The sequence below is a fragment of the Homo sapiens genome, chromosome 4 (genome assembly GCF_000001405.40).
Source record: "Homo sapiens chromosome 4, GRCh38.p14 Primary Assembly".
NCBI classification, from domain to species: Eukaryota; Metazoa; Chordata; class Mammalia; order Primates; family Hominidae; genus Homo; species Homo sapiens.
In genome coordinates, this window is record NC_000004.12 from 168089432 (window position 1) to 168115546 (window position 26115).

Consider the following 26115-nt stretch of genomic DNA (forward strand, 5'->3'; position numbering starts at 1 on the left):
TACAAAACAATCCGTGTACCGGGAGAAAATATTTGCAAACCACACATCTGTTAAGGTGCTAATATGAAAAATATCTAAGAGACTCAAACAACTCAATAACAAGAAAACAAGCAACCTGATTTAAAAATGGGCCAAGGACCCAAAGAGAGAGTCCTCAAAATAAAACATGCTATTAGACAAAGGATATGTTTAAAAATGTTCGGCATCTTTAATCATGAGGGATATGAAAATTAAAGCTGCAATGAGATATCACCTCCCACATGTTAGAATGGCAATTATCAAGAAGACAAAAGATAAGTGTTGGTGAGGTTGTGCAGAAAAAGGATACCTGGTGTTCTGTTCATGGGAATGTAAATTAGTATAGCCATTTTTAAAAACAGTATGGAGATTCCTCAAAAAACAAAACATGGAATTACCATATGATCCACAATCTCACTTCTGGATATATATCCGTAAAGATTGAGATCAGTATATCAAGGAAATGTCTGCACTCCCATGTTCATTCTGGCATTGTCTACAAAAGCAAAGATATGGCAACAACCTAAGTATCCATCAATGGATAAATGGATACAGAAAATGTAGTATACATAAAATAGAATAATATACATGCTTTAAAAAGAAGGAAATTCTGCCATGTGCAACAATATGGATGAAACTAGAGGACATTGTGGTAAGTCACATTTCAAACGCTAATTCATCTGTGAAGCATTCTTCATTTACTTGCTCCCTAAGTAACTTGCCTCTTGAGGAATTGTTCAAAATATTTTTTGCAACTTGCTTATGGCTCTTACCATTTATCATCTTGTATTCTGTTAATTTTTAAAACCTACTAAACTGTAAATCCCTTTGAATCAAGAAACATGCCTTTTCATTTTCTTCTTAAGTTGCTTTGTTTCATTCCTTGAGTATCTATGTAACATTGAGATTGAGGTTACAGGTTCTGTCATTGGACTGCCTAGGTTCAAATTTCACTCTCCTACTTCAAGAGTGAGATTTTAGGCAACATTCTTGACTACAGAGTAATTCCATTTCCTCTCTACTATCTATCTATGCTGTGGATAAAATATGGGCAATAACAGTACCAAGCTCATAGAGTTGTTGTAAGAATTAATTTATACAAGTATATTGACTTGAAACAATGTTTAGAATAGAGGAAAATCCTTATTATTGATAACATTTATTACTGTACAGGTTGTAGATAATCAAATGATATTTAAGTATGAGTAAATAAGTTACAACCAAACATTTTAAAATTTTCATCAGGGAAATTTTCATAAACATAAAATAGAATTATATTAAATAATTAACTACCATCTTTCCCAATAGTTTTCAAGATTTTGCCACACTGGTATCAAAAGGTGTCTCATGACCCTCTTTTCTATGGAATATTATAAGCCAAATACCAGATATCATAATTTCCCTTAAGGACATGTTTTTTAAAAGCTAAATCACAAAATAATGATGAATAAAATTATACATTAAGTACCTATTATCTGGGAGAAAATTAGGGAATATTATCAAATCTCTTTTCTCTGAATTATCTAATAATCTTAGGGAAAGGATTTTGGTCTCAAATATTTTGACAAATTTTGTTCATATTCACATATTTAGTCTCTAATAAAAGCCATAAGACCTGCAACTTACTAAAATAATCATAAAAAATCATTGTAGTTGAAAACTCTTCTATTGTTTCTAATTAAAAAACAATTTTAGTTGAAAATTCTTCTTTTGTTTCTAATTCTGAATCCTATAGTTTTAATAAGTATATCTATTATTTTATAATTGCTATATGCTGTCTACATATAGCAATTATACAATATAAATTATACAATTATAGCAATTATACAATATAAATTATACAATTTTATAATTGCTATATGCTGTCTACATAGCAAAAACACAAGACCCTGATTCATACACAGACACATACACATACATAGTAGGACCTACTAGATTTTAATGTTTTTGAGCCAAGCAGCATGGTTCCATATATCTCTCATAGTACCAGGTATACTGGTAAGGTAATCAGATAATATTATAAATTGAATGCTGAAGAATATATATATATAGTTGCTCATTATATATATATATATTTGTGTTTGTGTGTGTGTGTGTGTGTGTATTACATAAATACATACTGCTTCATGGCTTTTACTCATATTTTAACATCAGAATTATTTTGGGTAGTTCTAGACCTATGGATGCTGATCAGTTGACACTTGTCTTGTTAGTATTTGGTTCTTTCAATAAAGGATTATTTGCTCCTAATTCTTATTCAAAGTATTTTAAAATTTTTATAAATGAACACTATATTGTTCAATAAATAGCAAGTAGCAGTAAAATAATATAATACAGATTCATTTTGTTATTTTTGGAATCATATATGAATGTATCTAGATAGTTTCCAACACTATATTGAACTTTACAGGTTTTTCTAAAATTTATTTCCTTAAAATGCAATAGTTAATATTAAAATTACATATATATAAATATAGGAAAATTAAGTGCAAAAATGATGGTGAATATATTTCTCCAAAGACTTTTATTGGTGGATAATGAATTCTTTTCTAAATATATTTAAAATAATTTTTTTTTAATTTGTGTATTTTTAGTAGAGACGGGGTTTCGCCATGTTGGGCAGCCTGGTCTCGAATTCCTGACCTCAAGTGATCTGCCTGCCTTAGCCTCCCAAAGTGCTGGGATTAGAGGCATGAGCCACCAGGCCCAGCCCCTAAATACATTATTTTTTAATATAAGAGCAGATAAACAGTAGTTGAAATATTCTTTTAAAATTGTATGGATACACATAGAACCTAGCAATTTAAGATAGGAAACTAGGGCTGGAGCACCTGAAAGAGTTTCCATGTTAACAACAATTAAGCAGAAAATAAATGATTAACTTTATGGGTAATCAACTTAGCTTTCCATAAGTCATCAGCTTTTTCAAAAGATTACATTTCTTTCATTAGTTGGCTACTTTATGTGTCTTAAATCAACATACAACTGGGGATTAGGTTAATGGTTCTACTTATTTTGTGCAATAATTCTGCCTACTCACCTATGACTGATAACTAAGTATAAATACAGTATCTCAAGTCATGCTGTATCCAGATTTGCTTTTACATTTTCTTGCCTGAGTCTGAGGTGAACAGTGAACATATTTACATTTGATTTAACAGTGAACCTTAATTCTTTCTGGCTTCACAGTGAAACAAGTTTATGCAATCGATCAAATATTTTCATCCCTGAGGTTAACAATTACCATCAAAATGTTTTGTGGAGACTATGTGAGTATAATGCTTATTTCTGTAAAGCTTTTCACTCTTTTGAAACTTGATTTATAAAATTTCATTTGTGTTTTTTGACGTTTTTAACAGAAAATGTTGTTCTAATTTGTTTTTATTCTTACTACTTTCTTACTATTTTATGCCCATTTTTTGAAAGAAACATTTATAGAATATTTAAATTTTATTTCTGGGATTATTAAACATTACTATGATAACAAGATTTTTTTAATGCAATTATTTGCTATGCTTCTGAAGCAAATAAAGAAAACTGAAGATTAAAGATTTGGATTTGAGCATACCTAAGAATCCATTTAATTAGTGGGTCTTCAATATAACTATTAAACAGAGTTAATATTATGAAATCTTAAATCCATGCTAATTTTGAAACAACGTATTATCCCACAGAGGCAAGTTACTTTCATATGTAATTTGATTCAGAATTCTAACTGAAGTTATCATAAGATTTTTTATCTCGATATTTACTTCTATCTATAAAAAATTAAAATAATTTTGACTATTAATTTTATTTTAAATCCATGCTTTCTGTAAAAGATAGCTTATTTTTGAATAATTTTCTGTTGAATAGAAGCAATGTATAACAAGATTTAGTCTTTTTTTTGGCCTTGTCTGAATCATTTTAGTCCAACTGCTCTAATAGTCATTCACTTTTTAAAAAGCCAACATGAACATTAAGTTGTCTGAATATGCTTTATATGAAAAGGTCTCCATTTCACATGGTCTTGAAAATTATATACAAATGTGAATTTATGCCTTGTGGTCTTAGAAATTATATACAAGTATATGTGTGTTAATGATGATTCTTTACAAATCTATACTATAAAAAAACTTTCAGGAGACTGAGGCAAGAGAATGGCGTGAACCCGGGAGGCGGAGCTTGCAGTGAGCCGAGATCGCGCCACTGCACTCCAGCCTGGGCGACAGAGCGAGACTCCATCTCAAAAAACAAAAAACAACTTTCTGGGAACTTTTATGCAAAAAAATTATAACATAATTATTTTGTTAAACTTTGGCACACAAAACATTGTTTACTCATACAAAGTAATCAATGCAGGAAAATTTTACTTATATATTGTGTTTCTTAAGATAAATACTGAATTAGGACTTAAAAGGCAGCTATTTTCCATCACTGTTAGTTTAACAATCTTAATTTCATCTTAAGATTTCAAGATCTCATTTTGCAGTTGAAAGTTACCATTATTGTTTTATTAATTGTAAGGTGGTTATATTTCACTACAGAGAAAAAAAGGTATCAAGTAATTAGGCCAGCATGGTAAATGATTAAATTTGCAAATGCCTATTGTTTTCTCTCTCTGTTCATTTGAGTATAGTTATTTGGGAGTAATTACTATTATATTCTATGCATTGTGTGGTCTAATGTTACTATTTATATGCCCATTTTTCAAAAGAAACATATTTTATAGAATATTTAAATTATATTTCTGGGATTATTAAACATTACCAGGCTAACAAGATTTTTTTTAAATGCAATTATTTGCTATGCTTCTGAAGCAAATAAAGAAAACTGAAGATTAAAGATTTGGATTTGAGCATACCTAAGAATCCATTTTAAGTACTTTTGATTAGCTATTTTAGAGATGAATGTTATGTTTTATGTATAATCTCAGCAAGCCTGGATGGTAAAATGGTTTTACATAATCAATATCAGTATAGTTTAAAGTAATTTTCTATCTTAAGGTATATGACCCCAGTGGTCAGAATTTAGTGCTAAAAAGGCCAATATTTGAGGCCAAGCTTATCTCTTTAATCGGATGTTCTCAAGCAAGAGACTGGCTCTTCTGTTGACAAGTAATTTCTTATTTTATAATGTGGGTAGTAATTGACTGAGTTGTTTGTTAAAGATATGTCCCTAGATCCTCCTTATTTAGCAGTCCTGATGCAGTATATATAACATCTGAACTTATACACTTGATATAAAAGGGTTACCATTTTTGAGAACCACAGAGATAGGTAGTTCATTACTCTCAAAGTATAGAAAATTTAAATATACTTCAAGCAAGAGACAAGAATCATGGAAAAATGGTTACATTTCTGTAGGAGATAAACATACATAATATGTTAAAATTATTTTCTATATTTCTGGAGTTAGGCGGGCCCCAGTGATTAAGGTAGTTTAAGTGTGCTTGTTACATTAAGAAGGAAATTTATCTTTGGTGCACTAGTGTATTTTACTTATGTGCTTGACTGTAAGACCATCTTTCAAAAGCAAGGTTTAATTAAGAGATTATTGCAAGCCTGAGTTTTGATATATTAGTCAGATATAAATCACATCATAGGAAGATATTATTATAATATTATAATAGCTCTCTTAGAATGGAGGAAATTTTACTATACAGTGTACTTGCCCAAGTCAGGATCTAAACCCAGGTATCTCTACATCCCTAGAGCTCAAATTCTTTTTATTAATATATAATGTCTCTTTAGAATACACCTGCCTCTTTAGAATACAATTTTCTTGTAAAAATTGTTCGCTGATTTTGTCCTGTTTTGTCATCAGCTGATCCCCCTTGTTCATACAGTAGCATCTTATTTACTATAGATTCATTTCTTAGATGATACCCTTCCTTTTGACCTCTAATAGGATTAGAGTTAACTTTAATCCTATTCCCTTTTCTACCCTTTTGACACCTTTTCCTACTTCTATAATATTTATTGACTGACAGAAAATGTTAATCATAGCAGTATGAAAAGTAGGATACATGTTGATATCATATTTCTTACCTAAAATAGCATTATGTATTATACAAACATATAGAAATTATTATAATAATTTACTGTCTATATACATCATCCATACCTTGTTTAATTTAATCTTCACAGCAAATTGTCCTATAAGAATACCATTTAACATGCAAAGGTTTGAAGTTCTTTTGGAGGTACTAGATATTCTACCCAAATGTTTTATACATATTATTTTTGTGTTTGCAAACTTCTAGGACAGTATTATCATCCCCTTTTTCCAGATGAAAATACTAAGGTTCAGAAAAATTAAATACTTTTCCCAGGAGTTAAAAGCCAGTAGGTGACAGATACAGAGGATTCTGTGTAACTCCAAAATCATTTCTACCACACTGAGAGAAAAAAATGCCTAGGTATGATTATTTTTTGTGACCCCAATTAAATGAGAAAAACTTAGCAGCGGTATCTTTACAAAGATGCTTTGACTCATGAGTTTGCCTCAGAATAGCTCAAGAGCACGAAAGTCAGGCAACAGCATGTTAGGCAGTGTCTACTATGGGCAATGAGACATACAGCATTTTAGCCTAACTAGAATAAAAATAAATGCATTGGTTTTTAGCAGTGGATTACATGTAGTGAAGGAAAAGCACTCCATAAATCAGAAATGAATTCAGGGCATATTACCTAGGAGTGATTGCAGACTGACAAGACATCTCATGGGAGGAGAGGCTGTTGATAAGGCAAGATTATTTTCAAGACTGTCTTTTCCTATAGAAAGTAATTCCCAGGACAAAAACTTCCATCCAAGAAATCTGACTTTGATTGTTTATCTGCAGTATGACTTACTGAGCAAATATTATTAAAAGGTTATTCATACTTCAGATTGCTTTTCACTATCACAAGACTACATTGTCTGAACTTTACACACTTTGATTCAACAAAAGTTTTGAATCATGCTGTTATGGCTTCAACTTTTACTGAAACTTCTGTAGAACTAATAAGAGTTGGATTGGAAAAATTAAATTTAACTTTTTCCTTGAACTGGCATGCATGCTTGTTGTAAATTTTTAAAAATATACCATTATAACAACCATAGATTGGTTTTAATCTAGGGGCTGGGCAAACATCACTGTAGCGTAGTGGCTAAAGATACACTTAAATCTAGCCTTTCTGCATAGGATCCATGTGACTGAGCACTACTTGCTGAATCTTTCTGCACCTCAATTTTTTTTAACCTGTTAAGTGTGATAACAGCACCTATCTTATAAGGGTCTCTTGAGAATTGTTTGGCATATAAAGCACCAAGAAGAGTATCTGGAGCATAGAAGCATCCCAAAAAGATGAGCTATTATTCACAGTACCAGTGCCAAAGCTTGAATCCGACTCTGTCTAATTCAAAAGCCCTGGCCTTCAGCTGCCCAATGCACTGCTTCTAGAGGGGAGGTTAAGTTTGTATCCATTACTAATACAAATGCATATATATATATATATATGTATGTATATGTATATACAATACATACATAAGCATATATGTATGTGTATATATACAACAGTCCCAAATTTTATAAAGAAATTTGAGAAACAACAAAAGTTTCACAAGGGGAAATATATTTTCTGTTGTACTTAGCATAATGTTTATTTATAAGTAGATTGTATCATGCAAAAAAATTTCATAAACCCACTTACTTCAATTTCTGGTAACTTCTCTTCTTTATTATGGTAAAACTCCTCAAACTTGTATTACACCCATTATATACATTTCTTCTCCTTCAATTCTCTCCGTATCCATTCATTAGGTTTCTTTCTCAAATGCCCTGCCTGAACTGCTCTTATTAAAGTAAACAATGACCTTCATATGGTTAAATCCCATGCCTAATTCTCTCCTCTCATCTTGCTAGACATATGGGTGTTATTAGACACAATCGCCTTTGCCAGAAGTATTCCAGGGCCAAATTCTTGAAACTCTTCTCCTTCCTCCTTATAGCCTCTCCTTTGGTCATAAGATCCAACATAATGGTTTTAATTACATTCTATATACAGACTCTTTTCTGAATTTATGTCTCAACCCAGAACCTATGCATGAACCCCAGATTCCTGTAACCAAGTGTCTACTCATTGAGTAGAAACTCATCCTCTTATTAGTACAGAAAAAGGAAAGTTAAAAAAAAATTAAGCCTTGCTATTATCCTTGGCTCAGGTTCTCTCATACCTTACATTATCATTGCCTGCCAACTTCTGCAGTGGCTTCCTACCTGGTGTCCCTGGTCCCACCTCCAGGTACTGGTCAGAGAGTAATAAATATCATTGTCATAAACCCTGACCTCTTGAAACATGTATTTCATTGACATATAAGATTCATACTCACTCTGCAATTACACAAAGTAATGGAATAGGAGGTAAAAGTCAGCAAAGAGGATATTTTGAGAAAGCCATCTTGGTTTGAAAGTTCTTAATTTATAATAGCTAGAAAAATAAGAAGACTTCAATTTGTAGAATCACTTGCATTTTTCCAAGTGAGAAGTTAGAACACCTCTCTAGATATGTTGGTTTCTCTTGAATGGACTAGTTTTTGAGATTATTATAAAATTATCTGTTATTTTGACATTATGCTTATACCATTAACATTAATACAGTGTGCCCATTTAAATAAGTATTACTTTAAATCTAAGGCACTCTTGAAATTTAAAAAAAAAAAAGATGTTTAACTATATGTTCTTTTTTTTATTTTTCCTAATTAATCAACTTATTTAACAAACAGTAAAGGAAGAAAGTCATTAGATTATCACAAATGGCAAGCACTAAGAACGTACTTCTTTCCTTAACCCTTAAGGTGAAGTCTTCAGAAATTATGTTTAAGCAATATGAATCATAGTTAGTTTAATGAGTCATTTATTCCTGCAATTAGGTGGAGAGGAAAAGCAGAAAGAAAGGAGTCATTTAAAGGTCATTATTTACCAACTTTTCATTTTTCAGTATAGCCTCACACACACCCACATCCGACCCTTATCTACCTTAGAGTTCTTCTATCAGTAGAAATTATTTGTAATCAGAAGTAGCTCAGCCTGATTCATCAAAAAGGAAGGGATTGCAATAATTTTTAAAAGGAGATTTCAGAGTTTATGCTGTCAATCTCCCAGCATCAGCTTCTTCTAAATAGTCTCCAGCTATTTGTAATACTTTACTCATAGCTTTTGGACATGCATTTGTTATCAAAGGCAGAGTAAAACTTGCTTCCTGGGGCCTATTTTTCCTTGCCAGCATCACAGTCTTACACCACACAGTTATGAATATATTCTTCCTCAGTTATACTTTTATTTATGTCCTCTAGACATTCTGGGTAATTATGCTGGAAGGAACCAGAAAAAAAAAAAGACTATTACAAGTATCATGTACAAAACATAAAAGTAAATCCACACAAGATAATGTGTTTTATATACCCTGTTATAGATACAGTGGGAATCAACTTCACTCACAGCAACTTTGGATTGGCTTTTCATCTTTATTTGGTGGCAATTTGTAATAATAAAGCAACAGAATGTCTTCATGTATTTTATCATTCTATCTCTTAATTGAAACATTTCTGCTATTTTATTTTTAAATAAGCCAGAATGGAAGGCATTGTAGTAATACTTTTTCAGTTATGTAAAAAGAAAGCACTTTAACCACAGCAGATATAGCATTCTTAGTACTGTGAATTAGTAATCGTTTTAAAATATGTAAATCATATTGTATTTTATTGGTGGGTTATTCTTTTGTTGTTGCCCTTAGTACAGTAGTAAACTTCTTGAATTATTGTTCAACCCTTTGGAGATATTGAATAAATGTACATATTCTTCTAGGCATTCATTTAGTTGCCAGTCTGAAAATATTGTTTGAAAAGGTAAGTAAGAAAACGGTCAAAGATGCCGAAAGAGAGAGGCGTCAGTACCTGGGGACACATGCACCTTCTGTGTACCTTTCCTCACCTGTGGGCTGACTGCTGTGTGTTTAATCAAGAGGGCAACTCACATATAGAAAAGTAAATATTCACAGTGAATACAGTAGTCCCTTCACAGTAGAAAAGGGTTAGATTCATGAACCCTCAGTGAAAGGTAATTAATTAGTGGTTTTGAAATAAGACTTTTTCATGTAACAATGGTTACAACTGAACCTAATACAACTTAACGACCAGAAGAAACTCTTCGAGATCTCACTCCCTTCTGGTTCTTATTTTGTTTCATTCTAGATATTGTGAATACTAGAATGACTGTGGGCGGCTATGCTTGGTTTTCCTTCAAGATATTCAATGACTTCTAATTTCATGACTTAGTGGACTTGGTCTTTTTTTTAAATATATGATCCATATGTCTCTGAGTGCTACAGAGACAGAAATGGTTTTTATAAAATGTTATTTTAGTCATTTGGCAGAGGGAAATCAGTATCAAATAATACCTCCTCTCAGAATCACTGGGTTACATATAAACTGTCTGCCAACAATAACAGAGAAACAAGTGAGTTAGTCCCTTTCAAATATTAGGCTTCTTTCTCTCTCCTACAACATGCAAGAGTTCAGCTTTATAATCTAGGTTCATTTCCTTTTTGTTCTTTCTCAATGCTTTTTGCATATTGAGAAAGTTTTCAAACAAAAATTCATGTAATCTAGAATCAGTTGTAGAAATTTTTAAGATAGGTGCACTAAACTCAGAAAACTAGTCAAATGGTGTATTGTAATTAAAGGCATCAGATTAACTTTTCTTACATTTAGTCATGTTTTTAATCTAGATTTTTTAAGTCTGATTTAGAGAGACATGTAGACAGGTTGAATTTTCAAAAATACTTAGCTTTATTGGCAATGTAGCTTATTCTTCTCTCATCTGATTTTGATTTACAAGAACATTCTTTCCTTAGAGTGGGATATAAAACAGATTCATCATGAAATTGTACTTCCCTGTAAGGCTTTCTGTCACCTCACTATGACAATGTGTGAGGCAGGACATTTCCATATGGTTAAGATGATTGTCACCCATCTTTCTATTCACAAACTTTTTCCCTCCTTAAGCCTCTCATACAGGTTCCTTCATCTTTAGCTCTAAGTTCTCTGCTTCTCTCTCTTGTATGGGGTGCTCTTCAAAGTGAAGACAAAAACAACTGGGATCTGTTTCCTGCTACAACTCATTATTATTCTCATGTTTGAACCTCTATCTTAATTCGCAGTTGTAATTCTTGTGAAATTATTTTGTCAAACTATACGGTTTGAAGCTAAATTCAAACCAATGTGGCAATTTCTGATTTAAAAGTTTGCCATATTTAGTTTTATGAGACTAGATATGCACCTAAAAATACTATGTTTAAACTTTTTGTTTTGGGAACATTTCAGATTTACAAGAAAAAGTTGTCAAAATAATTCATAATTTGAATTACCCTTCCCCCAGCTTTCCCTAATGTTTACATTTTATATAACCATATTGAAATTATCAAAACAGGATATTAAAATAAGCACAGTGCAACTAACTAAACCACAGATATTGTTTAGATTATACCAGTATTTCTGCTAATCCTTTGGTTTCCTGCTTGATATGGTTTGGATCTGTGTCCCCACCAAATCTCATGTAGAACTGTAATTCCCGGTATTGAAGGTGGGGCCTGGTGGGAGGTGATTGGATAGTGGGGGCTGTTTCTCATGAATGGTTTAGTACTATTCCCTTGGTGCTGTTCTCATGAGAGTGAGTTCTTGCAAGATCTGGTTGCTTAAAAGTGTGTAGCACCTCCCACTTGGCTCTCTCATTTTCCTTCACTGGCTGTATGATGTGCTGGCTGCCCCTTTGCCCTCCTCCATGATTGTAAGTTTCCTGAGGCCTCCCAAGAAGCTGAGCCCATGCCAGGATCATGCTTCCTGTTCCTGTGGAACTGTGGGTCAATTAGACCTCTTTTCTTTATAAATTACCCAGCCTCAGATATTTCTTTATAGCAATGTGAGAATGAACTAATACACTGCTCCCAGGAGCTAGTGGCCATTGGGAACACTTTTAGGCTTAATCTTACTTTTGACATTTCTTTCTTTTCTCTTTTCTTTGTGTTTTTTTTGGGGGGGAAGGGGACGGGGGGAAGCTTTTCCTTACTTACAGCTACAAGATGCATTAATCTAATCTTGTATTTTTTCTTATTCCAGCCCTAGAATTAACCACTTCTCCAAAACGCCCTGATTCCTTCCATTGAAGACCGATATTTAAAACCAAGATCTGGATACTAGTTATACTCATTGCTACTGGGGTATCACTGTTTATATGCCCTCTTAAGAGTACAGAGCAAAAAATATGTGTGTATACTAACCCATTTATCTGCACACATCTATATTTACTTTTGTACATGTGTATGCATATATGTTTGCATGTATGCATGTCTCCATCTACCTTCCTACTTATCGATTTCTCTGTCTCTATCCATACATCTATCTACCATCTATCTTCATACTAATACCTCCAATCTAATCAACAACACCGTTCTAACCTTCACCATTATTTGTTACTTCTTTCTCAGACAGTGAAAACTAAGACTATCAATATCTGAAACCTGTTTGCTTATTTGTTTAACCCTACCATACATGTAGTTTAAAACTTGCTAAGCCATTACTCTGTGAGAAACAACTTTACCAAGAGGAGTACATTGTTTGGATTATTTTTATTTTTAGCTTTACAGTTCAGTCAAAACACTATTTTCTAAAGTTACTTAGGGCACATCCCCTCTCTCCACTGAGCTTATTGTGGTTATGAGATTTATTTGTTATATAAATAGATAAATTTGCTACAAACTGCATTTTCTGTTGGGTTTTCCATACATCTTTGTTGATTTTGTTAAACTTACATTTAACAAAATGTGCTTTTTGTGGTATACAATTTTATGATTTAAGTCATGTATCCAATGCCACATTTCCTTATAGAAGACTTCCATTATCCAAAAATTCCACCACACTGCCTGCCTGTAGTCAGCTACCGACCCCAAACTCCAAACTCTGGCAAATATTGCACTGTTTGCTGCTGCTATAGTTTCACCTTCTCCAGAATGTCATGGGAACAGAGTCATAAACTATTGAACCTTTTGGACATGGCTTCCTCCGCTTAGTAGAAACATTTAACCCTAATTCATATTGTATTAATCATTAGTTCTGCCATTTTATTGCTGAGTCACTGTCTCTTGTATGGATGTACCACAATTTGTTTATCTGTTCACAGTTTGAATGGATAAACTGTGAATGGATGAACTGTGGGTTGTTTCAGGATTTAGTGATTATAAATAAAGCTGCTCTAAACATATCAAGTTAAAGTTTTTGAGTGCAGTTATGTTTCCATTTCTTTTGCGTAAACACTTAGAAGCAAGATTGCTAGGTCATATGGTAACAGTACGTTTAGCTTTAGAAAAAACTGGCAAACTGTTTTCCCAAAGTGACTATACAATTTTGCATTCTCACCAGCAATATATTACAGTAGAATATCATTGTAGTTTTACTTTGAATTTCTTTATGGGTAATGATATTGATCATATCTTCATGTGCTCATTTACTATACCGTCATTGTGAATGTGTTTGTTTAAAATACTTCCCTATTTTTATATCATTTTCTTTGTTTATTTATATTGTCCTATACATATTCTGGATTAAACGTTTTATGAAAATGTAACTTACACACCTTTCCTTTCTTTCTGTGGATTGTCTTTTCAGTCCTTTAACAGTGCTTTTCACCAAGCAAAAGTTTTCAGTTTTGACAAAGTCTAATTTATTTTTTCATTATGGATCATATTTTTGTTGTCATTTCTAAAAATTCTTTCACTTACCCAAGTCATGTAGATTTTTTCTTATATTTTTCTTCTAGAAGTTTTATAGACTTACATTTCTATTAAGGTCTATGACAAATTTTGAATCAATTTTTGTATAAGGCATGAAGTATAGGTCAAGCTTATTTTTTTATATGAATCTCCAATTTTTATAGTACCATTTCTTGGGAAAACTGTTTTTTCTCTATCAAATTGTTTTCACTACTTTGTCAAAAGTTACTTGTCTGCATTTATGTGAGTCTAGATTCTTTATTCTGTCCAATCGAGCTATACTTCAATATTGTTACCTAATAGCAGAGTTTCATTAGTACTACGACTTAATAATAATAATTCTTAAAATCAGTTAGCATTACTCCTACAATTTTGGAGTTTCTTTTCAAAATTGTTTCAGCTATTCTAGGTATTCTGCATTTCCACAAATATTTTTGAATAAAATTGTCAACATCGACACAAAATTCTGCCAGGATTTCGACTGGGATTTTGTTGAAAATGTAGGCCAATTTAAGGAGACTTGGCATCTTAACAATATTAAGTTTTCTAGCCATGAAAATGGTACATATCTTTATTTATTTATCTTTTTAAATAACTGTCAGAAGTATTCTGTTTCTTCTATTCCAATATGTATAATGCTTATTTCTTTTAATTTTCTTATTGCATTGCCTAAGATTTTTCGGTATGGTATTGAAGTAATGGAAAATAACATTCTTGCTTTCTTCCTAGTCTAGAGCAGACTGGGGCGCTGGAAAGGGAGGTGAAGCATTCAATATTTCACCTTTAATTTTAGATGTAGGGTTTTTGTAGATGTCTTTTACCAAATTAATGAAGTTGCTTTGTCTTTTAAATTTGCTTAGTTTTTAACATGAATAGATGCTATACTTGTCAAGTGTTTTTTCTGCATCATGTTTTGATGGCCATATAAGTTTTATTTCTTAAATTGTTAATAAGGTGAATTAAACAGATTGATTTTTGAATGTTGTGCCAGTCCTGCATTATTGGGATAAACACAACTAAGTTGTACTACATCCTCCTTTTTATATATTAGTACATTGAATTTTCTTGTATTATGTTGGGCATATTTGCATTTATGTTCATAAGGGTTACTATCCTACAATTTTCTTTTCTTGTAATGTTGATTTGGTTTTGGTATTAGTATAATCTAGATTCATAAAATGAGTCAGAAAGTGTTCTCTTCTATTTTCTAGAAAAAAATTTGGTAGAATTGATATTATTTCTTCCTTAAATGGTTGGCAGAAATATCCAGTAAAACCATGTAAGCTGGAGATTTTCTTGCTGAAAGGTTTCTAAATACAAATTCAATTTTCTCAATAGATATGAGGCAATTTAAGTTAACTGCTTTTCTTGAATGAGTTTGGGTAATTTTAGTCTGTCAAGAAATTTAAATTGAATATATATGGGCATTGAATCATTCATAGCATTCCTTTTGGTAGGAATGTTGTCATCTATTTTTATGTTTATAGTTTGTATCTTAGTTTTTCTTTGTAAATTGGCTACAGTTCTATCAATTTCATTGTTGTCCAAATAATAACTTTACTTCATTTTATTTATTTTTCTCTTTTTAATTTTATTGATTTTACTCTTGTCTTTATTACCTCCTACCTCCTGCTTGCATTGCATGTAAATTTCTATTATTTCTCTAATTTCTTGTGGTGAAAACTTAAATTTTATTTCGTTCTAATATATTTATATTTAATGTTATAAATTTACCTTTAGGCACTGAAACATATGAGTATTAAAAGTGGCAGACTTGTGTGATAAATGTAGATGAGTGAATTTGTTTCTTCTCTTGTTTTGATCAGCAAAGGTCCATGTGGTCTTGAAAGCTTTTGGGATCTGTAGATTTGGGCACTTTTTTTTTTAACTTTTATTTTGAGTTCAGGAGTACATGTGCAGGTTTGTTATACAGGTAAACTCGTGTCATGGGAGTTCATTGTACAGATTACTTTGTGACTCAGGTATTAAGCCTATTACCCCTGAGTTATTTTTCCTGACTCTCTCCATTCTCCCACCCACCTCCCTCCAGTATGCCCCAGTTTCTGTTGTTCCCTTCTATATGTCCATGTGTTCTCATTATTTAGCTCCCACTTATAAATGAGAACATGTGATATTTGTTTTTCTCTTCCTGTGGTAGTTTGCTAAGCATAATGGCCTCCAGCTCCATCCATGTTTCTGCAAAGCACACAATTTCATTCTTCTTTATGGCTGTGTAGTATTCCATGTTGTATATGTGCCACATTTTCTTTATCCAGTCTACCATTGATAAGCATTTAGATTGATTCCATGTCTTTGCTATTGTGAATAGTGCTATAGTGAACATAAACATGCATTTGTCTTTATGGTAAAATGGTTTATATTCCTTTGGGTATATACCCAGTAGTGAGATTGCTGGGTCAAATAATAGTTCTGTTTTCAGCTCCTTCAGGAATCACCACATTGTTTTCCACAATGGTTGAACTAATTTACACTCCCACCAACAGTATATAAGCATTCCTTTTTCTCTATAAGCTCAACAGCATTTGTTATTTTTTGACTTTTTATTAACAGCCATTCTGATTGGTGTGAGATGATATCTTATTGTGGTTTTCATTTGCATTTGTCTAATAATCAGTGATAAGCTTTTTTTCATATGCTTCTTAGCCACATATATGTCTTCTTTTTAAAAGTATCTGTTCATGTCCTTTGCCCACTTTTTGGAGTGTTTCACACATACTCCAAACATGGAGTTGTTTGTTTTTTCTTTGTAGATATGTTTAAGTTGCTTATAAATGCTGGATGTTTGACCTTTGTCAGCTGCATAGTTTGCAAAAGTTTCTCCCATTCTGTAGGTTGTTTACTATGTTGACAGCTTCTTTTGTTGTAATTTATTAGATCCCATTTGTCAATTTTTGCCTTTGTTGCAATTGTTGTTGGTATCTTTGTCATGAAATCTTTGTCCATTCCTATTACTTGGGTACTTTTCAATGCAAACAATTTTAGGTCAACAATAAGTATAAACAATTTTGGCTCAATGATATTTTAAAAACATTTATTATGAATTTCTATAGTATAATGTGTGGGAAATGGATAAAATGTGGATTGTGGACCTGTAAAAATCTTAAAGTTTTAATTTTACAACTCAATTAAGCTAGGCATTTCTAATTTTATATCAGTGTGATTCTTGAAAACAATATAGTGTTCCATGGAACTCTTGGAAGAAAAACCAAAACCTGTGTGATATTCCAGACAGGTGCTAAAGAAGAGAAATAGAATGAATGATAATTACTATTAATTGAAATACATATCTCATTAATCTTCATAGTAACTGAAACTTGCAAAACGTCTACAACTTTTACTTTACAAGGTGTGAAGTAGGGGAGTTAAAATAATTTACCACTTTGTACAGCAAGGAACAAAGATGATTTAAAATCAAGTCTGCTTTACTGCCTTACTTTAGTGAGATATCTATGTCTGTTATCACAAGGGAAATGGAAAGGAGGTTGTAACATTTTCTGGCTGTGCTTTATTTTTTACAATGTCCAGAGAAAGTAATTATCAGATGTTTTCTGGTTACATGATACATGATTTTTGCTCCAGTTTGTCACTTACTTGATAGATGTATGCTTCTTTTTATGCCCTTCTCTTCCCAATCAGAAAAAAGAAAGTTAAATCATATAGGATAAAATGCATTACATATAAAAGTTCCTGATATTTTTAGATGTGTTTCCCATGAGATGCCTCAAAGATGGAGGCATTTAAATTAGTGGCAAAAAGTATGGAGGGCCTCATGGAGTTCTTAGGAATACTATCCCCCACATTGCAGGTTAGTTGAGAGCCTCTTCAAAAGACCAACGTATCCTGTAAAATTATCACATTAGAATTCCTTTTATATGGATTCCATTGGCAGTAATATAAGCAGACCAATAAAAAAGAAAAAAATATGGATTTACTTGATTACAAAACTGTTAAATAATTCTTTGAGGATAAAATAGATTTAGACCAAGAATGTCAATAAAAGGGGGCAACAGAGTAAAGGAAACAAAGAGTTTCAGTGGAGAATAGGAGCAATTTAAGTGTTTAGAGATTTTTTAGTGAATATCTCTCTGACATTGCTAATTTCACTTTCCAATTATATAAAGTGATGAGAAATTGTTGTATTTATCCTTTACCTAAAATATATTTTTGAACAACTCTGAAATGTTTTTATCAGATAGTTTAATTAATTAAACTAAGGATAATTACTGGTGGCAAAAACCATATGCCTTTATTTCATTCTTAAATTGTTCATTTAAACTCACTAGGACTAGTTTTCCATAGGTCCTATATTAGTAAGTTTAGGCTACTATAACAAAATACCATAGACTGGGTGGCTGAAATAACAGAAATTTATTTATCACAGTTCTGGAGGCTGGAAAGTCCAAGATCAAAGTGTCAGCAAATTCGGTGTCTGCGGAGGGCCCTCTTCCTGGCTTGCAGATGGCCACTTTCTTGCTGTGTCTTTACACAGGGGACAGAGACTCAAATTTTTCTCATAAAGATACTAATCCCATCATAGGATCCCCATTCTCATGACCTCATCTACATTTAATTTCCCAAAGGCCTCATCTCCAAATACCATTATATTGGGGGGTAGGGCTTGAACATATTAATTTTGGGGGACATGAACATCCAGTCCATTTAAGTACCATTACTTTTCTGTTACTCTTAGGCAATTAAATATTCATAAGTTACTTGCACTCACAAAAATTTATAGAAATTTAAAATGTCTAATCTTGTGTCAAGGTAAAAATCATTCCCCTTTTTAGACCATATAGGGTAACTTCTTGATGTTGCCATGGCATTTGTAAACTGTGATGGCACTGGTGAGAGTGTCTTTTAACATGTTAATGTATTATAACTAGAGTATAATGAGCAGTGAGGACGACCAGGGGTCACTCTCATTGCCATCTTAATTTTGGTGGGTTTTAGCCGGCTTCTTTACTGCAACCCCTTGTATTAGCAAGGTCTTTATGACCTATATCTTGTGCTGACCTCCTATCTCATCCTGTGACTTAGAATGCCTAACTGTCTGGGAATGCAGGCCAGTAGGTCTCAGCCTTATTTTACCCAACCCCTACTCAAGATGGAGTTGCTCTTTTTGAAACACTTCTGACATTTGGTGTCATTTAGCTGGTATTATAGTCATTTAGCACTGATACACTATGGCCTTCAAAGATGTTTCTTTGGGACCATTATAGGTTTTTAGGATATTTCTCATGGCAAACAATCTTCTCTTGCCATCTTCTTATCAATCTGCTCCCTCTTAGAGTTCCTGTCATTCCTTCTAAAGGAGAATTTGGAGCCAGATCCCTTTAAAATGGTTTATGCCAACTCCTCCTACTTTGTAGCACTTATGTAGTCTGTGGCAAAGTCTCACATCTTATGTCCCAATAAACTCTGGGAGCGCAACAAATTATTGGAATTCAGATATCCGTTGTGAAGCCACCCTCTCACTTAAAATAGCTATGTAGCCACGCAATCTGAGCTTTAGACATTTCTCAATGTGCACCTAAGGTGTTCCCCAAATATGGTACACATTTCAAGTTCTCTGGGTGGTCTCCTTTATGCTGACATCACCACCCTTCACCTCATTCCCCATGGCAGGACAAGGAGGTCTCAGAGAACACTATCACCTCTACCCAAATAAATCCCCTTTATAACCTCATCTAGGTTGGTAAGTGGCTATGAATAACAACACTGATTTTTAGAATTTTCTTTGCAAACCTGGTCTAGGGAATCTGTTCTTCACTTTGGAATGTGAATGCTCTTGGCAGCTATTATTTTCCCATCAGGTTACAGCCTCAGTGAAAACTGAATTATAAAGGGACCAATTTTAAAATCTTGTTATGGTGCTACATGAACTCTTTGATGTTTCCCACATTTTTTTTCTGCTATGTACCCATCAGATGAGAATTTCTACCAACCCTCACTTTCCAGAAAGAAGATCAATGTATGTTTGGTGCAGAGCAACCCATAACTGATTTCTGTTCAACATACCATATTTATTCAGCAAAAATTTTCAGTTTAATATAAAACACAGTATGAATTTTAATGGATTTTAGTCTCCTAGGCATATGTGCTCAAGTTTTTTTAAATTATCAAAATTCTCTTACTCCTTCTATCTTTGTAGCTATTACATTTTTTAAATGAAGAAAATCGATATCAAATACTCCAAATGCAATTTATATCAGAAAATTGATTTGGACTTAAGTACATGTTAGGAAAATATTAGGTACATTACCAATAATTCAAAGTATAAAATAAATCACCAAGTTAGTATTATTTTTTAAAATAAAATGATAAAATTTCATTCCCTCTTTAGGCAAGTGACTTTACCATTTCCTGAATCTGTCATTGAGTGGTTTGGCAAAGAGCTGACAGATGAATCTGAAGATCTTTTTAAAAAATAACTGCAGACTCCTTACCATATAATTTCATGATAATCAATATTTGCTGAATCATCTTTTTCTTACCTATATAAAATCATAACAAAATATACATTCAATGTCTTTATAAAACTAGGTACTCCTGAGAAATTAAAAATTACCTTTAAATATATTTTAAAAGCATTTTAGCTATAGTCAGCTAAGCTATCTAAGTTATCTCACTTAGTTTACACTCCTTACTATAATGCATCAATAAACTTCATGTTAGGCCGGGCACGGTGGCTCACGCCAGTAATCCCAGCACTTCGGGAGGCCGAGACGGGCAGATCACGAGGTCAGGAGATCGAGACCATCCTGGCGAAGACGGTGAAACCCCGTCTCTACTAAAAATACAAAAGAATTAGCCAGACGTGGTGGCGGGTGCCTGTAATCTCAGCTACTCAAGAGGCTGAGGCAGGAGAATGGCATGAACCCGGAAGTTGGAGCTTGCAGTGAGCCGGGATAGTTAGCCACTGCACTCCAGCCTGGGCGACAGAGCGAGACTCCTTCTCAAAAAATAATAATAATTTTAAAAAATAAAAATAAATAAACTCCATGTTAGAAGTAGAAACCTGTTAACCAACTGATAGAAAACCAATCAAGATAAAATGTGCTCCTTTTGTCTCCTTCATCCCCTGGTTTAGTTATAGCTAGATGTATAGTTAATGTTCATAAAGAAAACTAGTAATGAAATGCCTTCCACCCATATTAACGATGCTACAACATTTTTATTTGTGTTAATTCTTTTTTTTTTTTTTTTGAGATTGGTACATCTTATTTCATTGACTAGAATAGAAATGCTGTGTAGGGCATTCATTTAAAATAGTTTAAGGTAAAAATTACCCTAAACAAACTGGCTGTTATTTCTAACTCTGTAATATATATTATTTGTCTATCAAGGTTAATTTCAAAATTCTAAAACTTTTGTTTCCATTGAAATTCTTTCATATAGAAGTCTAGAAGTTCTTTAGTATATAGTTAAACAACTTATTTATGGATTGCCCAGGCCAGGTTTTGTCTAGCTGCAAACTGGCTTTACTTTAAAATCACATACTCTTGCTTAAGTAAGTATTAAGGAAAGGAAGAAAGAAAAAAACAACAAAACCAACCAGAGCCATGCATTATTTTAAAGGTAAAAATCTGCTGGGAATAGAATTTCGTGATACTTTCAATGATAGTCTATCAGTGTACAAAAAGGAGGAAAGTAAAAGGTAATCTAAAGGACCATTCTTTTTCTCATTAACATCTCAAGAACATACAGTTCTCTAGATAATAATATCACTGGTCTCTGCTACTGAAAGCTAAAGAACTTTTAATCTCCAGGAATCTGTTTCTGTTTGTGAAATAGATGACTGTGCTTTGTGAGTGCTGATTACTAACCTATCTAAAAACATCAAATGAGATTAAAGTTGCTGAAATTTTAGAATCACCATTCATCTAAGGTTTGTAATACCATTTTGTAGAAATTGTTCTAATAAATCTACAGAATTCAGTCCTTCACACATTAAATGTCAGCATAATCTCTGTTTTAAGTGTGAGATTCAGGAGTGCATGCATTCCTTGAGGGTGAGCAAACACTTAGATCCTATGTTAAATTTGCTTTATGTTTAACCCTTCAAAAATCTTAAATTACTATATGTTTTATCCTTTCTAGATTAATTTATGTGTACTAGGCCTTTTAACCACTTTATGTGACATGAAAAACATAAAATAAGCCTTAATTTTTCAAAATGTGAGAATAATAATCAAAAAAAGAGTAGAAAAGCATAAAATTGACAGGGAAGATACACTATAAAAGCAGTAGTTTAAATCCATAACACTTTACAGAGGACACAACATTCAAGGCACCTATTCCAGGCTGCCAATTAGTAAGCCACTGGCCTTGTATAAATACTGTCATTTTTTCATATATAATATAGAAATAGGAACACTTACCTTGCCTGATACACTCGTGTTAATATCAAATAAGATAAAGAATATGGAGGTGCTATTTAAACTGCACAGTAGCTATTCAAATAGTATAATGCCTCCTTCATCTCTAGAATGTCATGCTTTGCAAAATATACTTATCACTATTTTATTTGGGGCACAGATATGTTCACTGAATTTAAATATTATTTCAGTTCTTTTTAAATAATATAGTACTGATCAATAAAAAGCATGTAATGACATCTTATTATTAATTAAACTATTTACAAGGAGGGCTGAGTAGTATTTTCAGATCTGCTCCTTGACATTTATCTTCAAGATAAGCACAATAGACTTCAAGAAATATCCTATTAGTGGTATATTATGAAAAAGAAAAGCCAGGCTGTGGGCAGTGGCTCACATCTGTACTCCTAGCACACTCTGGGAGGCCAAGGCAGGCGGATCACTTGAGGCCAGCAGTTCAACACCAGCCTGGCCAACATGGAGAAACCCCATCTCTACTAAAAACACACAAAAATTAGCCGGGCGTGGTGGCATTCACTTGTAGTCCCGGCTACTCAGGAGGCTGAGGCAGGAGAATTCCTTAAACCTGGGAGGCAGAGGCTGCAGTGAGCCGAGATCGTACCACTGCACTCCAGAGCCTCTGCAGCAGAGCAAGACTCTGTCTGGGGTGGCGGGCTGGGGGGAAGGCAACAACAAAAGAAAAGCCAGATTACAAAAAAAAATATGTAAATGTGACTTCATTATTTCATTTAGAAACAAACACCTTATGACTATATGTAAAGATGTGAAAAGTACAAGAAGAGCACTTGGCGGACTATTTTCTCTTTTGGTTGCTATTAAAATATTTAACGATAATTTGTAGACAATGAGATCATAAATGATTTTTCTTAACTTTTTATGTCAGAGTTTTTTCATAACCAAATTTAATACATTAATTATATATTAATTTTCTAATGACTAAAAAATATTCCCATCTGTATTTCTCCTTCATATGGAAGACTAGTCTAGCAATCAAGAGCATAGCCTTTGGAATCAGACAGATTGGGGTTTCAATATAGGCTCCATACTTCACTAGCCATATGACCTAGCAACAGAAATGAATCTCCCTGCCGGCATGGTGGCTCATGCCTGTAATCCCAGCATTTTGCAAGGCCAGGGTGGGCGGATCATTTGAAGTCAGGAGTTCAAGACCAGCCTGACCAGCATGATGAAATCCTGTCTCTACTAAAAATACAAAAAAATTAGCCAGGTGTGGTGGCACGTGCTTGTAGTCCCAGCAAGTCAGGAGTCTGAAGCAGGAGAATCGCTTTAATTTGGGAGGCAAAGGTTGCAGTGAGCCAAGATCATGCCACTGTACTCCAGCCTGGGTGACAGAGGGAGACTCCATCGGAAAAAAAAAAGAAAGAAAAAAAAGAAAGAAATCAGTCTCTCTGAATCTGTTTCTTCAACTTTAGTAATAGGACCAATCCCATTTGTTTGTATATTTGATGGCTTAATGCCTGAGAGTTAAATATGCTGTCTTAGTTCATTGTGTGCTGCTATAACACAATATTTAAAACTGTGTAATTTATAAAGAGCAGGAATTTATGTTCTCACGGTTCTGGAGGCTGGAAAGTCCAAGATCAAGGTGCTCTCACTTGGTCTGGTGAGAGCCCAGTCTCTGCTTTCATCTCACTTGGTCTGGTGAGAGCCCAGTCTCTGCTTTCATCTCACTTGGTCTGGTGAGAGCCCAGTCTCTGCTTTCATCTCACTTGGTCTGGTGAGAGCCCAGTCTCTGCTTTCATCTCACTTGGTCTGGTGAGAGCCCAGTCTCTGCTTTCATCTCACTTGGTCTGGTGAGAGTCCAGTCTGCTTCCACAATGGTGCCTTGAACTTTGTGTCCTCTCTAAAGGAAAAGTGCTGTGTTCTCAAGTAACAGAAGGTGGAGGAACTCCTTTCATCAAGCCCTTGTATAAAAGTACATAATCCCATTTATTAGGACAGAGCTGTCATGGCCTCATCACCTCCCAGAGGCTCCACCTTCTGATCCCATCAACTTGATAATTAGGTTTTATTATAGATATTGGAAAAGACACCACATTCAAACCATAGTACAGGGTAATATAAATTATTTAGCACTATTCTTGATATATAATTGAAAACTCAGTGTGTTGACTATGATTTTTGAACACTTATTCATGGTGTTGAATTACTTCTTTTCTTCCCTTTGCTTTTTTACATTTATTCAGCTTTCATTTGGTTGGAATTACTCTTTAATATTATGCTTGGAAAAGTTATGTAGGTGGCATTTTACCTTTTGCCTTTCCTTTAAATTATAGTTTTGCTGGTTTTAAAGCTTTTCAGTTTATAACCTTTCTCTCTGGATTCTGGAAGGGCTGATCAATTGGCTTCTTGTATTTAATTTTGCAGAAGAGAATGCTAAGGGCAATTTGGTTATTTCTTTTGTAAATAACCTAAATAGGTCTAAATATTATGTTTCAAATGTTAATCTTGTTTTTTCCATTAATATTATCCAACATTAGGTAATCTCTTTTCATTTAAGGACTTGATTCTTTCATTACCTACATTTGTTTATGTTTTATTTATTCTTGTTTTTTCTTTCATTGCTCTGCTATCTTCCAGATGTGTGTCTATACATATATTTTATTTATTTATTTTTTAGACAGAGTCTTGCTCTGTTGCCCAGGCTGGAGTGCAGTGGTGCAGTCTTGGCTCACTGCCACCTCCACCTCCCAGGTTCAAGCAATTCTCCCGACTCAGCCTCAGGAAATAAAGATTAACAATTATCTTACTCATTTGAAACTCTATGTTTTCATGTCATTTGACTAATTAGTTTAAGGAACATGCAGCCAGCACATGTATAGTGTCCCCTCTTGTTTTTTTAGCAATTTTTAAAACTTTTATTTTAAGTACAATGACATAACTGCAGGGTTTGTTACAAAGGTAAACTTGTGTCATGGAAGTCTATTGTACCTAATAGTTGTTTTTCCTGATCATATCCCTCCTCCCAAAATCCACCCTCTGAAAGGATCCAATGTGTGCTGTTCTCCCTCTATGTGTCCATGTGTTCTCATCATTTAGCTTCCACTTGTAAGTAAGAACATGCAATATTTGGTTTTCTGTTCCTGTGTTAATTTGCTAAGGATAATGGCCTCAAGCTCCAACCATGTGCCTGCCGAAGACACGATCTCATTTATTTTTATGGCTGCATAGTATTCCACGGTGTGTATGTACCACATTTTCTATTTTTTGTTATTTTCTTTTATTTTTTTTGAGACAGGGTCTTACTTTGTAGACTAGGCTGGAGTGCAGTGATACAATCTCAGCTCACCACAACCTCTGCCTCCAGGGCTCAAAAATCCTCCCATCTCAGCCTCCCAAGTAGCTGGGACCACAAGCATATACCACCATGCCCAGCTAATTTTGTATGGAGATACGGTTTTGCCATGTTGCCTGCTCAGGCTGGTCTGGAACTCCTGGGCTGAAGCAATCTACCTGCCTCAGATTCCCAGAGTGCTGGGATTTCAGACATGAGTCACTGTGCCCAGCCTCTGTACCTTGTTTTATTTATCTAGTCTATCACTGGTGGGCATTTAGGCTGATTCCATCTTGATGCTGAATAACCCTATCATGGGGAAAACCCTGATACCTTCACTCCCCCAAAATACCACCAACTAAAATCTATTCCAACTCACCTCTATTGAAAGTTCATGACAACAGATGGGTTTACACAGGGGTTGTGCAAATAACTTGAAATCAAATATTAGACATTCTGTTCTTAATAAATTTCAGCAACCCAGACAATGGGAATTTCTTTTTGGGTGTCTTTCTTACTGCCTTTCCATCCCTCCCTACAATACACACGCACACACACACACACACACACACACACACACACACACACACTCCCCTCT

The 26115-nt window shown here is 33.7% G+C and overlaps 1 protein-coding gene and 1 long non-coding RNA gene across 3 annotated transcripts in view; both read left to right on the top strand.

The window, feature by feature from the left end:
• Positions 1-3105: 3105 nt before the first annotated feature.
• ANXA10 (annexin A10) overlaps positions 3106-26115 on the top strand; it is a 95200-nt gene continuing 72190 nt past the window's right edge. For both annotated transcript variants that reach the window (XM_011531571.3, NM_007193.5), the window contains exon 1: positions 3106-3287. In XM_011531571.3, coding sequence (XP_011529873.1) covers positions 3270-3287 — 18 coding nt within the window. In that variant the 5' untranslated portion in view covers positions 3106-3269. The remainder of the gene's footprint in view (positions 3288-26115) is intronic.
• Positions 3306-13298, top strand: LOC124900170 (uncharacterized). Its single transcript, XR_007058357.1, has 2 exons — positions 3306-9885; positions 12154-13298. It is a non-coding gene; the product is annotated as an uncharacterized LOC124900170 (long non-coding RNA).